The 16630-nt window shown below is 40.9% G+C and overlaps 1 protein-coding gene across 1 annotated transcript in view, besides 3 other annotated features; it reads left to right on the forward strand.

Annotated features, from left to right (window-relative positions):
• Positions 59-298: a silencer, noted in NCBI's record as "silent region_5136". NCBI's record gives its function as "represses an Ori minimal core promoter by ATAC-STARR-seq in GM12878 lymphoblastoid cells {active_cell/tissue: GM12878}" and the evidence as "EXISTENCE:reporter gene assay evidence [ECO:0000049][PMID:35858748]".
• Positions 246-16630, forward strand: part of ZNF10 (zinc finger protein 10) — a 28839-nt gene continuing 12454 nt past the window's right edge. The window contains exons 1-2 of the mRNA NM_015394.5: positions 246-373; positions 14053-14144. Coding sequence (NP_056209.2) covers positions 14112-14144 — 33 coding nt within the window. The 5' untranslated portion in view covers positions 246-373; positions 14053-14111. The remainder of the gene's footprint in view (positions 374-14052; positions 14145-16630) is intronic.
• Positions 349-628: an enhancer, noted in NCBI's record as "active region_7400". NCBI's record gives its function as "activates an Ori minimal core promoter by ATAC-STARR-seq in GM12878 lymphoblastoid cells {active_cell/tissue: GM12878}" and the evidence as "EXISTENCE:reporter gene assay evidence [ECO:0000049][PMID:35858748]".
• Positions 1711-1880: an enhancer, noted in NCBI's record as "experimental_26228 CRE fragment used in MPRA reporter constructs". NCBI's record gives its function as "activates a minimal promoter by MPRAs in K562 erythroleukemia cells, with activity observed for the non-introgressed 12:133708763 variant allele {active_cell/tissue: K562}" and the evidence as "EXISTENCE:reporter gene assay evidence [ECO:0000049][PMID:34662402]".

Consider the following 16630-nt stretch of genomic DNA (forward strand, 5'->3'; position numbering starts at 1 on the left):
CAGAGTGGCGGCTGCGGCGCCGGCGACGAATCGCCGGCTCTAGGGTCCCGGGGCGCGCGGCTGACGGGCTGGGGGCGGAGCGTGGCCTGAACGCCAGGCTGGGGCGCGTGCGTAACGGTGTGTGTTGTGGGTGCGTGTGCGTGCGTTCGCAGCAGGGGCGGGCGTAGGACCAATGGGGGCGGGGCGCGTGCGCGTGCGTGACGTCAGGCCACGGGGAGGTGGCGCCGCCGTGCCGAGCCGGCCTCAGACTCACCTCTGACGCCGCTCTTCGCGCTCCGCTGGTGAATGGAGTCGCGTTCTCTGTTTTGCTGTTGCTGCTGCCTTTGTGACGGGATCGCTTTCTCCCATCGAACCTTCTAGTTGCTTATTGCAGGTATATACGAAAGTGCTGAATTTTGTGTTTGCATCGTCATCAGGCGCGTGTTGAGCCCTTTAGTAATGTAGCAGTGTATTAGCTTCGTATTTCTAGGTAGACGGTAATTTCGTCAATGAAAAAATTTAACGGTGATCGTCACCCCTTGCCTCAGTCACTTTCTGTCCCTCGCGCGGCCCCGGCGTTCACGGCGGACGTTCTTGTTCTGTGGAGAATAACGGCTGCACCTGGAGATTGACGCAGAGTGGGCGGCGGTGGTGGTAAGTTTGAACCAGATATTTTCAGTAATACAAAATAAGGTTTCTTCTAGTCTAACTTCCATTTTTCCCCCCAGCTGGGATAGATGTTTAAAATTTTGCATATGGCCTTTCTAGTATTTGTTGAAATAGTGACGCCGATTCGTGTGTGGTCTTTTAAAAACAAATCCTGCATCTCTAGCTCTTAGCTTCCTCATCTTTGTTTTGTTTTTTAATCAGATAGATTAACTGAAGGCGTGTTTGTGTGGTTAATCTATTTTTTTTATTTTCAGAGACAGATCATAAGTTTAATTACTATATTTTTATTTTCCCTTGACACTAGATATATATACGCCATCTAACACATAATATGAGTGTCAAAGATAAGGTTAACATCAAGATTTCGTACGTAGATCCCACCCAAAGTGTATGCAGAAGGTGAACAATTTCAATTCCAGCTATACATTAATTGCAGAAAGATACTGTTAATTAAAAAAAAAAAAGTAAAAGGGAAGGCAGGATGTCACCCAGAATGCCAGCCAACAAGTGTTATTAGGTTAGAAATGACTGCAGTTAGGTCTCCGAGAACTGGATAGCACAAATCCTCCCTACCCTTTTGAAAATTACCTCCACACTAACTTTTCTCTTGTGACATAACTAATCTCTTCTGTTTTACTAAAATTGTCCCCCATCTTCCAAAGCCTCTTGGATGGTAAGTTGCACACGCTCCTGCCTCTTTTTGAAAGTTACATTTGTTTTTTGATTACTTCTCTCAGCATGCATTTCTTTAGCTCTTAGTATATGCTAGTCACAAGGGCAGAGATTTGAGATACACATCATAAATTAAATGAGAATTTCTGCTTATCAGTATTTTATATAAGCACTGTCTGGAAATTCTACTTAGGACAATATTTAAGTAGATATGAGGCTTACCTTCTGGAAAAGAGATTACAAAATTATCCTTGTTAATTAATTAACTAATTAAGTCCCCAAAATGAGAAGAGATTCAATTACTATCAATAATTTGTAGTAAAGTGACTGAAAAGGAAATATATAAGCTAATAGATTGATTGCCGTCCTCAACAAGTTAGCACATACTTTTATTTTTAAAAAGTCTTCACAATAGGAAGAAAATAATTTTAGCTAGAAATATATGTGAACTATATGAGAAAAACTTCAAAACCTTACTAGGCAATTCTTACTAGAAGAATAAAGGATGAGTAAGAATAAAAACAGTTCTGTTTATAGATTATATTCAATTGTCAAGAAAATCTGAGAATTTTTTTTTTTTTTTTTGAGATAGAGTTTTGTTCTTGTTGCCCATGCTGGAGTGCAATGGCTCGATCTTGGCTCACTGCAACCTCTGCCTCCTGGGTTCAAGCAATTCTCCTGCCTCAACCTCCCTAGTAGCTGGGATTACAGGCGCCAGCCACCATGCCCAGCTAATTAACATATGCCAGTCACAAGGGCAGAGATTTGAGATACACATCTTAAATTAACAAGAGCAACAAGAGCGAAACTCCGTCTCAAAAAAAAAGTATTTTAAGGAAAAAGAAATTTCTTATTGTTAATATCTCTGTTGTGCCTACAAGAGACTCTTTTACTTTCATCAGCAGTACTCTTTCTAGCATGTCTCATGTCAGCCAGGGCTTTTAATTCTTCTGGCTATGAAGCAAGGTTGGGACAAGATATGATATAGGCCACCTTTGTCTGTGTATGTGCCTCTTTGACTCGTAATGAACATCCAAGAGCATTATTTTTTCCTCTTTCCACACAATATCTCCTTGCTGACTGATCCTAACATTTCCTGTTCAAAATTTTATTATGAAGAATTTTGAGCATACAGCTAAATTAAAAGAAGTTTACAGTGAATACTTATAAACCTTCCCATCTAGACTCTACCATTAATATTTTACTGTACCTAATTTTAACACATACCCATCTGTCCCTCTTTTTATCCATCAGTTCATTGTATTTTTAAATTTTTTTCAAAGTAAATTGACATGGGTACGTATTCCTTAAAAATTTCAGAATACGTATGTATTATTAATTAGAATTCTATATTTGTTTAGATTTTTCTTTAGATGTAAAATTTACATAACATGAAAAGCGCAAATCTTAAGTGTACATTTGCTGAGTTTTGACAGATGCAGGATCTTTGCCTTTTGTATCTTTAAGTATATCTTTGCCATGTCTATTGGTTACCGAGTTTTAACTTTGTGGCTGCTGGGTCCTTTTTGCTGATCATACCTTGCCCTTTGCTGAAGCAAATACTGGTAAACCTATTCAGAACTTGAAGAGACCCTGTTCTCTTTATTAATGAACATGTACTCCATGTCCCCAAGTGAAATGCGGTTCCTGACGAGGTTGTACCTGTCAATGTGAGTGCTGGTTAAGTATAGTCACATGTCAGAGTGAATGAATATGAAGTGCTAAGCACTTTGCTAGCCTCTTCCCAGGATTTAGAATGAGATTGTCCTAATTCTTAAGTGGTTCACTATCTCATAAGGGAGACAGACAAATCTTGGTACCGTAAGGCAGCGTTGAAGTGCTGGAATAGGGCATGGGCAGAGTCCTTCATGTTTACGGATGATAGAACCACTGATCCTCTCTGAGATAGTGGGAAGGCGTCACAGCATAGATGGCATTAAAGTGATCCTTAGAGAATATGGGGCAAGTGTAGTGGGAGTTAAGTTGAAAAGGGTCCAGAACGTTGTTGTGAAACTTGTACGCTAAGTGTTTGATTGGAGCTGTGCTTTGGAACTGCGTGTGCCTCAAATAGTAACTTTCATAGCCTTCTTGCCGATACTTGGAGCTTCTTTTCAGCCCATCTCTGCCCTTGTGGCAGCCAAAATAATGGCTCCCCAGAGATATCCCCAGCACCTGGGAATATTTTACCTTATACTGCAAAATAAAATTTGCAGTTGTGATTCAATGAAGGATCTCAAGATGGGGAGAGATTATCCTGGATTATTTCAGTGGGCTTAGTGTAATAACAGGGGTCCTTAAAAGTAAAAGAGCTGGGTGGCCGGGCACGGTGGCTCACGCCTGTAATCCCAGCACTTTGGGAGGCCAAGGTGGGGAGATCACCTGAGGTCAGGAGTTCGAGACCAGCCTGGCCAACTTGGTGAAACCCTGTCGCTACTAAAAATACAAAAAAAAAAAAAAAAAAATTAGCTGAGTGTGGTGGTGGGCGCCTGTAATCCCAGCTATATGGGAGGCTGTGGCAGGAGAATCACTTGAACCCAAGAGGCGGCGGTTGCAATGAGCCGAGATTGCTTCACTGCACTCCAGCCTGGGCAACAGAGCAAGACTCCCTCTCAAAAAAAAAAAGTAAAAGGGGGATAAGAAGGTTAGCAATCAGGGAAATATAACCATGAAAGAAAGGCACAGAGAAATGTATCATTGCTGGCCTTGCAGGTGGAGGAAGGGTCAGGAGCCAAGGAGTGTAGATGGTCCTAGACACTGGACGGGGGCAAGGAAATAGATTCTTCTCTAGAGCCTCCAGAAGGAACACAGCTCTGCCAACACCTTAATTTTAGCCCTCCGAAACCTGTATCAGACTTCTGACCTCCAGAATTGTTATGTAACAAATGTGTGTTGTTGAAAACCACAAAGTTTTGATAATTGGCAGCAATGGAAAACTAATATAGCCCTCTGTCCTTAAGAGTTTACCAAAATAAAAATAGTCTCCCTTTCTCTGGCACTATGTTTTGACTTTGCCTCAGAAGAAAAATGGAGTGATTATAAATATTTTTTGTGACCACTCTGGTAGAAAATATAGACTTTATTGTAACATTTATGTTCACAAATAGAATTATATAGTCTTCTAGGAGATTTTACCATTTGGAGGTGGGAAGAAAAATCTCTTTGCAAATGTAAAGCTCACATTGTGGAATGGCTGTTGCTGTGCTTTCTAACTCCTAACATTGGACCTTTTCTCATCGTTGTTCCAGTTTTTCCTTCCCCAGGAAGTTTTGCAGATTTCCCCAGCCACATTTCCTTTCTCCATTCTCTTCATGTCTGTGGTACTAGACTTTTAACATCCTTCCATGGTTACAATCTGCTTGAGGGAGGGAAATTATTCTCATAGTTGTGTTCCTAACATCTTAAAAAGAGCTTCTCAGGTAGGGGACGCTCAGTCACTCTTGATAGCTACCTGAAATGCCTTTTGATCTTAGTGTGCGCATATAGAATTGTCTTTTGCCTTTCATGGGTCTGCCTTGTCTTACTGGGAAGATTATTGGATCTCAGAGCATCCAGACTACCTCTCATCTTTTGTTCTTACACAGCAGTGACCAAATAGTAAGTTGGGCTCCAAACTCTGCACTGTGAGCTGGGGAAAGGGCACTCAATGCTCCCTGAATACCAAGATCCATTATGCTGCTGCAGCCAAAACAGGAAATAAATAATGCTGGACATCATCAGGCAGAGGATTTGAAACAGCTTTCCTCTGTGGCATCGCAGTGTTCCAGGACTTCGTTATATGAGCTGAGCCTACCTTGCCTTCTCATCTCTGGAGGCTCTTCACTTCACTCTGCTCATGTCATCACTCCTGTGTGTCTCAGACTTCCACTCATGACCCAAACAGCACAGCCTCTGCAAACTTCGGTATCCCTCTTTCTGACTCTTACCCCTTGTTCTCCTGGCTCTTTTTATGTCCTTATTCTCACGACTCTTCTTGGAGGTTCTCCTCAAATCTGTCAGCTCCTTCCTTGACTCATGTCTATACCAAAACTAGATCCTGTTGTTGATTGCACACATTTCTCACATGAGGCATTCTTACTTCTCTTGCTCTGCATTACCTGCACACATAGAAATCCCAGCCCAGAACACTGCACAGTTTGCCTTTTCTTCTGTTCAGGCAGCGAGTGCTGCTTGAGGAAATCACAGCTAGGCAGACAAGTATGACAGACATACTCTCCGTAACCTCAGCTTATCTTTTGTCAGCAGCTTTTGCTAGTTTGTCACTGCATGGCCCAAACCTTTATCACTGTCCTCAATGATCATGGCCATCTGTTGTTCCTCTCATTGTTAGCAAATAGCCTTGCTTTCTTTTTTGACTCACATTTCTATTGAACTGCCTGCTAATTGTCAACATCCCACCTATCCTGACTTCCAGGAGGTAGGAGAGAATGAAGCATCCTTCTTCCTTTAGAAGCCTGATGCCTTCATCAGAGATTTGACCCCATCCTTCCCCCCTTCTCTCTCCTCTAGTTCCAACTCCCTTGTCTATTAATTGCTTCCTCTGTTTTTAGTCTCCACTCTGACCCCACCACCTCTTCTACCTGCCCTTTCTCTTCCTTCTCCACTTCCAAACTTTTCATTCCTATTGTGGAATTTGTCTGCTGTTTCCACTAGTGTATTGAAACTGATCTCCTCAAATTATTAGTGAAGGCTTATCTAACCAATCCAATACCTTTCAATCCTTAATTTATCTAACTCTATTTTGATCTACCCATCCTTGAAATTTACATATCTTAGTTCTCTTTATCTGGAGGTTCTCTGCCTCCTTTTTGGGCTTCTCTTTTATTTGCTTCCTAAACGTTGATTTTTCTCTATAATCCTGGTCCTACCGTTTATTTTACTCTTCAAGTTCTCTGGTTGGTTTTATGCCAAGGTTTCATCTGATAATGCCATTACGTGGCACTACTGAATATTACTGTTTCTTAGTAAGCTTTATATGAAATATGTCACAGGGTTGTTGATAGGAACATATGATCCCCCTTAGACTCCTTTATTCATGTGTTTACTTCACCTATATCTTATAGCAGGAGAATATAGTTACTCTTAAATATGTGACAAAAGACCATCCTCCTCCCGAAAAGCTTGTCCTGTTTGAGTATATAGCCAGGCAGCTTGAGTGGATTCAGATAGAATACAGATATGGAAGGCAGATGATGTACATCTGGATAACCCTCACATTTAAATACAGCCTCCTAGATGCCACTTCTCTGTGGCTTACTCACTGTGTTCATGTGGCCTACTCACTATGTTCAAAACCAATCGCATCATTTCTCTAGTACGTAACCCTTCTGATATTGTTCTCCATTTAGTCACACAGAAGCCTGAGAGTCATGTGAAGCTGCTAGCCCTTTCTCACACCCACATTCAGTCAAATTCCAGGACATACTGATCCTACCCAAATCTACCTGCTCTCCATTTCTACCATCATGGCCCTAATTTGTGTTCCCAAATCTTCTGGATTAAAGTATTAGCCTACTACCTGGTTTTTTTTGGGGCTACTATTATATCTTCCTCTAGTCCATTACACAGCTACCCCTAGAAGAGCACTTTGAAGACACTAATATTGTTTCCTGGCTTACAACATTTAGGAAAGAGTCCACATTTCTGAGAATGGCATTCTTGGCTGGCTGTGACCTAGATCTGGCTTTGCACACCTCTGGCCCTGTTTCTTTTTGTTCTCTGGCCTAAACTATATGCACTAGAAGTATTGAAATTCTTCCCCTTACACATAATCTTCTTAGGCATTGCCTTTGCTCACGATGTTCCCCAACCTCCCTTACCTACCAAACCAGCTCTGACACTCAGCCCATTCCTCCCTGAAACCATTAGGCTGTGTTAGAAACCACCTTCTATGCTCCTGTGAGCCCTTGTCCATTGCTGTTATTATAGCAGTAATCAAACTCTACTGTAAATGTGTGTTTTCAGTTTCTTCCAGTAGCCTCAGCTGCTTGAGGTAAGGGATTAAATGCCTTGTTCACATTTCTATCTTCAAGGCCTGGTACAGAGCTAGGAATATAAGTGTTCGGTAGAGATTTATTAAAATGGCAGAAGTTCCAAATCTATACCACTAAGATAGTTATTAACTTACCAGCTGTTTCCTCAAAAACAAACAAAACTTCTCCCAGTATCCCTGCTCTGAGAATGACTGATACTTTAGAGAAGTCAGTTTTGGCCAGTCACATAAAAGGATCCTTTGTGATGGATCTGATTACCTCAAGAATGGTAGAAACCTGGAATTAAATAAATAATGGTTTACATCTGTGTTTCTCAACCTTAGCTATACATTCATTTGTACCAGGTGGAGCTCTTAAAAAAAAAAAATCCTTAATCCCTTCTCAGATAATTAAATCAGAATCTCTTGGTATGGGACCCAGGTATCAATAAATGCCAAACATACTTAGCAATTCCAGCGTGCAGCCAGAGTTTAAAACCGCTGGGTTAGATAAAGGTTTGAGTGAGTTATCTAGTAGTAGTTGCTAAGGGAAATTAGAATTGAGTGAGACCTAACCCAAACTGTTTATAATTATGGTAGTTATTAGAATGGACCTTATGTGTCTGTCTAAACCAGAAGCCTTACTGTAGTTTTGTTTTTTTTTTAATGAGATCCTATTGAAAATTTATTAGTGACCAGAAATTTTGAGACCCTGTCTAAAAAAAAAAAAAAATTAGCCAAGTACAGTGGCTCATACCTGTAGTTCTAGCTGCTTGGGAGGATCACTTGAGCCCAGGAGTTTGAGGCCACAATAACCTCCCTGGGATGCCAGTACTATTTCCAGATATGTCATTTGATTAACAGTATCTCATTATATTGACTTGTAATTGACTTCTTTGTAACTCCACACATATGTCCTAATCCTTCCCTGTGCAACAACTCAGAATAAATATTATTCCGAGGATAGGATGTGCAAATGTGTGAAAACTATTTTCTTGCTTCCTGTAAGTAATTTTTTTCAGGCTGAGTATTTCCAGTTACTTCAGCCTTTGCTTATCTTGAAAAGCAAGCTCTATGAGGGAAGGACCCATGTCTGAATGGCTACTACTCTGTTCTTAGCCCCTAGGATAGTACTTGGCATATTGTAAGTATTCAGTTAATGTCTGGTGTAAAAAGGGATGAATAAAGGAACCGTCTGGGTTCGTACACCTCTTTATCCTGCTAACTCTGGCATTCTGACTCCTTAAAAGGAACCTTGTACTCCTGTGATAACATCCATACAAAGTACATATAGCATCCACTTGTATATCTTAATTTCCTGAAATAGTATGGCATTGCCTTTATTGTCAGCTAAAATTTGTAACTGATCTTTACTTATATTGCTGGTGAAAGGATTAAAAACAGGGTAAGGACAGAGACCTGTACCTGATGTCAGAAACTTCTCTCCATAAGGACATGACCCTTTGGTCAGCTAATTGTGGATCTCTCTTGCTGTACTTTAATTCAGTCATTGTTGCTTCTTCTTTCAGTGGCTGTGGGAGCAAAGAGTAAGAAACACTAAAACTTCCTGGAGAAATTAGGTAATGACATAAGAATGGATAATGTTTGATCTTGCAACATGGGTAAGGTTTTACCAAGAGACAAGAAAAGGAAGAACATATCTGGCTTAGGAATAGCATAGATAAAGATGTTCAGGCAACTCAAGTGGTTCACCATAGTTATAGGGAAATGTATGGTAGTTTGATAAAACATTTAGGGCATAGGGAGGTAGAAAAGCCACAATCACAGAGGATCCTAAATCTATGCCAAGGACTTAGTCCATTTTTCTATACGTACTGGGAGACCAAAAGGGAATTTTAAACAGGGAGTGAAACTTTTGTGTTTTACAGAGATGATGTTGCTGCAAACACTCATTGGAGTGAGAGAGACCAAAGGCAAAGAAGTCAAGTAGGAGGTCTCTAGGTGAAGAATTATGAGGCCCTGAATCAGGGCCACAGCAGTAGGAGTTGGTGGAAGACATTTAAGAGGGGGAATTTATAGGTTGTGGTGACTGATTGGATGTTAAAAAGAAACTCTAGAAAGACACTTGCTGGTTGGGCGCAGTGGCTTACATCTGTCATTTGAGCACTTTGAGAGGCCCAGCACTTTAGGAGGCCAAGGCATGAGGACTGCTTGAGGCTAGGAGTTCTAGACTAGCCTGGGCAACATAATGAGACCCCTATCGCTGCAAAAAAAATTTTTTTAATTAGCCAGGCTGGGCATGGTGACCCACACCTGTAATCCCAGTACTTTGAGAGGCCAAAGCAGGAGGATTACTTGAGCCCAAGACTTTGAAACCAGCCTGGGCAACATAGTGAGACCCTGTCTCTACAAAAATTTAAAGATTAGCTGAGTGTGATGGTATGTGCCTTTGGTCCCAGATACTCAGGAGGCTGAGGCGGGAGGATCACTTGAGCCCAGGAGGTCAAGACTGCAGTGAGCTGTGTTCGTGCCACTGTACTCCAGCCTGGATGACAGAGTAAGACCCTGTCTCAAAAAAAAAAAAAAAAAAAAAAAAAAAAAGCCAGGTGCAGTGGCTCACACCTGTAGTTCTATCTACTTGGGAGGCTGAGGAGGGAGGATCACTTGAGCCCAAGAGTTTGAGGCCACGGTAAGCTATGATCATGCCACCGCACTCCGGCCTAGGTGACAAGAATGAGGCCTCGACTTTGGAAAAAAAAGAAAAGAAAGACACTTGTGTTACTGGGTCACTAGACGTCTTTTTTTTTTTTTTTTTTAAATAAGTCTTACCACGTGTCAGGCACCATTCTATGTTTTACAAATACTAACTCATTTAATTCCCACAATAACCCTATGAGGTCAATACTATTTTATCTCTCTTGGTCTTGAAAACCACTGTTTAATGTATTTTGTCTGTTTTGTTGTTGTTGGGGCAAGAGGTTAATTCTATTCTCTCGTATTCCATCTCGGCTGGAAGCAGAAGTTTATAAACATTGCATTTTAAATTTATTTTAAATTTAGATTTTTTTAATTTCCATTTTTTGAATACTAAATTTGACTATTTCCTATATGTTTACATTTGCATTTCTTTTGTACTTTGTTCCTGTATATTGTTTGCTCTGTCTTCTGAAGATTTAAGGGTTTCCTTTTCAGTTTTATGCATGGTCCCATAAGTAAAAGCAATATGGCTTCTGTAAGAGAGCATCTTACAGCAGGAGAATTCTGGAGATCTGCAAAGGTTCTCCCTCAAGTATTCAGCAGAGCACAGATTAGTACATACGTGTGAGGAAACTACTTGAGCCAGGGAAAGAGTCCTCTAAAGGATTATTGGGAACAGTATCTGTTGTTCACATAGGGCTGAGAAGAGTATATCTATTCCCACCAGCCAGACTGGAAAACTCTTCCAATTCCTGGAGCATTGGATAGGTCGTGTCTACCCAATCAGTATCTATCAAGAAGGTCTTGCTTCAGTAATGGGGGATAATTAGCCCTATACTAGGCACTGCTAAATCTGTCTAGCAAATTGTAAAAGAAAGACCCAAAAGGATCAAACTGTTTGCAAATAACCTAACCATCCTAAAACAAAGCTTAAGGAAATTTATAGTACTATAAAAATATCCAGCATCCAATACAATAACATTCACAGTATCTGGCATCCAATCAAATTCACCAAGCATGCAAAGAGATGAAAACATGGCCCATAGTGAGGACGGTAATAATGATTTGAAACTCATCCAAACTTAACATAGATATTATTATTAGCAGAGGAGGATAGTAAAACATTAGTTATAACTGTATTTCGTATTGCTAAGAAGGTAAGTACAGCAATAGAAAGTATTAAAAAAAATTGAGATTCTAGGGAGAAAACCTATATTGCCTGAAATGAAAATATACCAGGTTAACAGAAGATTAGATTTCCAGAAGAAAAGTTGGGTGAACTTGAAGGCATAGCAGTAAAACTATCCAAAATGAAATGCAGAGAGAAAAAAGAAACCAGAAAAAAAATGAAAAGAACTTGAGTAAGCTGTGGATAGCATCAGGTAGCCTACCGTATGAGTAATTGGAGTCCCTGAAGAAGAGAGTAAAGGAGAGATGGAGAAATATATGAAGAAATAATGGCTGGAAATGTCAAAACTTAATGAAACTATAAACCCGCAAGTTCAAGAAGCTCAAGGAACCCTAAACTCCAGCAACATGAAAAGTATACCAAGGAAAATAATAATCAGATTACTCAAATCAATAAAAGAGAAAATCTCAAAAGCAGCCAGAAGGAAAATACATGCTATATACAGAGGAATAAGGGATTACATTGGATTTCTTACCAGAAATAAGACATCTAAGAAGAGTGGAACTATATCTACAAAGTACTGAAAGAAAAAAATAACTGTCTACCTATTAAATAGAATTACACATTCAGGAAAAAACATCTTTCAACAACAAAGGTAACTCAACCTATAGAATGGAAGAAACAGGCCGGGCGCGGTGGCTCACGCCTGTAATCCCAGCACTTTGGGAGGCCGAGGCGGGCAGATCACCTGAGGTCAGGAGTTCGAGACCAGCCTGACCAACATGGTGAAACCCCGTCTCTACTAAAAAATACAAAAAATTAGCTTTGCATGCCTGTAGTCCCAGCTACAGGCTGAGGCACAAGAATTGCTTGAACCTGGGAGGTGGAGGTTGCAGTGAACTGAGATCTTGCCACTGCACTCCAACCTGGGTGACAGAGTGAGACTCCGTCTCCAAAAAAAAAAAAAAAAAAGTGGGAGAAACTATTTGCAAATCATGTATCTGTTAAGGGTTTAATATCTAGAATATACAAAGAACTCCTACAACTCAACAATACACACAGCCCAATTGTAAACATGGGTAAAGGACTTGACATTCCTGTAAAGAAGATATACACATGGCTAGTAAGCACATGAAAATATGCTCAACATCATCACTCGTTAGGGAAATGTAAAAACTACAATGAGATGTCACTTCATCCTTACTAGGATGGCTGTAATTAAAAAAAAATAGAATAACAAGTATTTGGCAAGGATGTAGAGAAATTAGAATATGCATATATATTCCTGGTGTGAATGTAAAAATGATGCAGCCACTATGGAAAACAATTTGTTGGTTCCTCAAAAAGCTAAACATAAAACCATATGACCCAGCTGTTTCAGTCCTAGGTGTATATCCAAGGGAATCGAATGTAGGAACTCAAACAGATACTTGTATGCCAGTGCTCATGGCAGTGTTATTCATAATAACCAAAAGATGGAAACAATGCAAGTGTTCATCAACAGATGAGTGGGTAACAAAATGTAGTCTCTACACAGTGGAATATTTGGTCATGAAAAGAGTGAGGTTCTGATACATGTTAAAACATAGATGAACCTTGAAAAATGTATACTGAGTGAAATAAGCCAGACTCGAAAGGGCAAATATTGTATGATTCCACTTACATGACCTAAGTAGAACAGGCAAATTCATAGAGACAGAACGTAGATTAGGGGCTTCCAGGGAATAGGGGAGAATATGGAGTTACCACTGAGTGGGTACCAGAGATTCTGTTTGGAGCGATGGAAAAGTTTTGGAATTACATAGTGGTGATGGTTGTACCACACTGTGAATGTACTTAATGCCACTGAATTGGATACTTAAAAACAGTTAAAATGGCAAAAAAAAAAAATTATTTTACTGCAATTTAAAAAATTATATAATATACCAAAACCCACTGAATACACAGTTTAAATGGTTGAATTGTACCATATGGCTCTTTAAAAAAAAGCCAAAGGCACAAAAAAGACATTGTTAGCTATAAGAAAGCTGAAAGAATTTATCACTAGGAGACCTCCGTTACAGGAAACATTAAAGAATGTGCTTCAGAGAGAAAGGAAATGAAACCAAATGGAAATCTGGATCTACACAAACGAGTAAACAGCACTGGCGAATGGTAACTACCTAGGTAAATATATAATATTTTTCCTTAATATTTAAATTATCTTTAAAATGTAATTGGCTATATTAGTTTTCTGTTGCTTGTAGCATATACCACAAACTTGGCAGCTTCAAACAGCATTTCCTTATCAGCTCTGTTGGTCAGAAGCGGTGCAAGCACAGCATGGCTGGGTTTTCTGCTCAGGATGTCTAAAGGCTGAAATCAGGGTGTCACCTGGACTGAGTTCTCATCTGGAGGCCGTGGGGAAAAATTCACTTTCAAGCTCACTCTTCTTGGCAGAATTCAGTTCCTTGTGGCTGCAGGACTGAGGTCCCTGCTTCCTAGCTGGCTTTCAGCTGGTGCTGCTCTTTGCTGCTGGAGCCTGCCATGTTCCTCACACTGCATTCCATCTTCAAGCCAGTAATGGTGCGTCACATTTTTCTTGGGCTTCTATCTCTGACTTCCGTTCTGTGACCAGCTGGAGACAACACTTGTTTTTTTAATCTGTAAAGTGAGACTATTTGATTAGGTCAGGTTTGGTATTTTTTTCCGCAAAAAAAAAATTTGTAATGGTAGGTAGGATCATTCAGTTTTAAATCTTCAAATGTGGTGTGGAACTCCAGAGATTAAGGGGGTAAAAATGCAATTTATGTAGCTCTTCTCTTCCTAATCTTGGGGAGCTTCGGGCACTGTAGATTTGCTTATAGAATATCTCTGATGTTCCTCTGTATAGTGGGTGTTTGTGTCATACCCAGCTGGTATGAAGAAGTTTAGACTGACAATTTAGGGAGCCTCCCAGTCATAGCAAACTTAACTTATGTTTCTTTCTTTTTCCCAGCTTTGTCTCCTCAGCACTCTGCTGTCACTCAAGGAAGTATCATCAAGAACAAGGAGGGCATGGATGCTAAGTCACTAACTGCCTGGTCCCGGGTAAGCTGGGCTTTCTTCCCAGTTTCCAACTGGGAATTCCTTTTTGCTTTAGTTCCTTTGCCAAAGATCTTCAGAAATTATATCTTCTTCTCCAGCAGACTAGAATTAGGTTTTTGTTTTGTTTCCAGGTGAGTTAGGAAGAAGACAGATCACTGTGGGCTTTGGTCTTTCCCTCTCTTCTTTTATTATAGAAATTTTCAAATATATACAAAATAAAAATAGTAGAATAGTAGTGGAAAATATGACAGAATGGAATGAGATTAGTGTTACATTTAAAATGGACTGGAGGCTAATACAAGAAAAAGATCAACTCATGCTGACCAAAAAATTCAAAAACAGGTATTTACAAACAGTTATTCTTTTTTTGTTGTTGTTTAGACGGAGTCTTGCTCTGTCACCCAGGCTAGAGTCCAGTGGCGCGATCTCAGCTCACTGCAACCTCCACCTCCCAGGTTCAAGTGATTCTTCTGCCTCAGCCTCCCAAGTAGCTGGGACTACAGGCGTGTGCCACTATGCCTGGCTAAATTTTTGTATTTTTAGTAGAGACGGGGTTTCACTGTGTTAGCCAGTCTCAATATCCTGACCTCAGGTGATCCGCCTGCCTCGGCCTCCCAAAGCACTGCATTACAGGTGTGAGCTACCCCGCCCGGCCAACCAGTTATTCGTTTACAATTATATTCATATGAGGTAAGGGCATTTTGAAAATAATAAACAACACAATTCAGGATAATGCTTACTTCCAGCAAAGAACAAGAAGCACACAAGATATTTCAAAAGTATTAGGAGGAATGAAAGCATACTTAGGCTATATACCTTCTTGGCATGTCTGTACATGCTGGACTGCAGCAGATGGCACTTCTCATCTCTGTCTTCTTTAACACGGTATTGTACTGTTGTGTTAGTGTGTATAATACTATGAGACAGACGGTATTTTACAGCTAAGAGAACTGACTCATGGTGAAGTTAAATAAGCATTATCCAATCCAAAATTTAAGGTATATAGGCCAGGTGCGGTGGCTCATACCTATAATCCCAGCACTTTGGGAGGCTGAGGTGCGCAGATCACCGAGGTCAGGAGTTTGAGAACAGCACGGCCAACATGGTAAGACCCTGTCTCTACTGAAAATACAAAAATAAGCAAGCCAGGCGTGGTGGCATAGTCCTAGCTACTCCGGAGGCTGAGGCAGGAAAATTGCTTGAACCCGGGAGGCGGAGGTTGCAGTGAGCCAAGATCATGCCACTGCACTCCAGCCCGCGTGTCAGAGCAAAACTCTGTCCCACCCCCCCACCCCCACAAAAAGAAAAAAACAAAAAAAACACAAAATTTAAGATGTACAGATTTGACCACAGGTTCGCCTGATTTCAAATCCGGTTCTTGGCTAACATGTCATGCACCTTTCAGTGGTGTCCCCATGATATGCTTTGTCTCTGTGTTCACAGTAAAAGTGCAATGTATTACTTATAGGAATGCTAAAAGCACCAGGCCAGAAATCAGATAGCCACTGAAGTTAAAACTGGGCAGGCTTCTTAGAAACTGAGCAGCAATGAGTGAGTCAAGGACTAGTGGAAAGTAGCAGGCACACTGAACTTCAGTAATACGAGAATGAGGTGGGAGCAGAGTGTCATCACCATTAGGCCTGAAGGGATGAGAACAGGTTCTGGAAACCAGACTTGCAGTTCACAGAGGCTGTTCCCATCTGTCAAGGTACCTCCATTACGTCACCACCACTGCACTGGGGCAACTTTCTTGCCATATCCAGCTGGTGATCTCCATTGGTGAAATAAATCAGAAAGGCAGAGGGCAAGAGAAACCTTTGGTATAATCCACACAGCTCACCCTCCCTGGGGAACAGAGTAGGGTGGAGAGGAAACCTGGAGGGAAGGAGAGAAGATATCCAGCATACAGATCTCATAGGACATTCCATTTAAAATTTTTTTTTTACATACAGTAACGTTTTCCACTTTGGATTTACAGTTCTGTGATTTTTGACAGATGCATATAGTTGTGTAGCCCCCACTTCATTCAAGATACAGAGCAGGCTGGGCACTGTGGCTCATGCCTGTAATCCCAACACTTTGGGAGGCGGAGGCGGGTGGATCACTTGAGGTCAGGAGTTCGAGACCAGCCTGGCCAACATGGTGGAACCCCGTCTCTACTAAAAATACAAAAATTAGCTGGGCACAGTGGCGGGCGCCTATAAACTCAGGTACCTGGGAGGCTGAGGCAGGAGAATTGCTTGAACTCAGGGAACAGAGGTTGCACTGAGCCGAGATTGTGCCACTTCACTCTACCCTAGGTGAAAGAGCGAAACTCCATCTCAAAAAAAAAACAAAACACCAAGATACAGGGCAAACCCATGATCCTAGAATTCCCTGTGTGCTGCCCCTGTGTATATAGTCCATGCTAACTCCCCCTCCAGCCCCTTGCAACCACTGATCTATTGATTTTTACCTTTTCCAGAAGGTCACATAAATGGAATCTCATA

The sequence above is a fragment of the Homo sapiens genome, chromosome 12 (genome assembly GCF_000001405.40).
Source record: "Homo sapiens chromosome 12, GRCh38.p14 Primary Assembly".
NCBI lineage: Eukaryota > Metazoa > Chordata > Mammalia > Primates > Hominidae > Homo > Homo sapiens.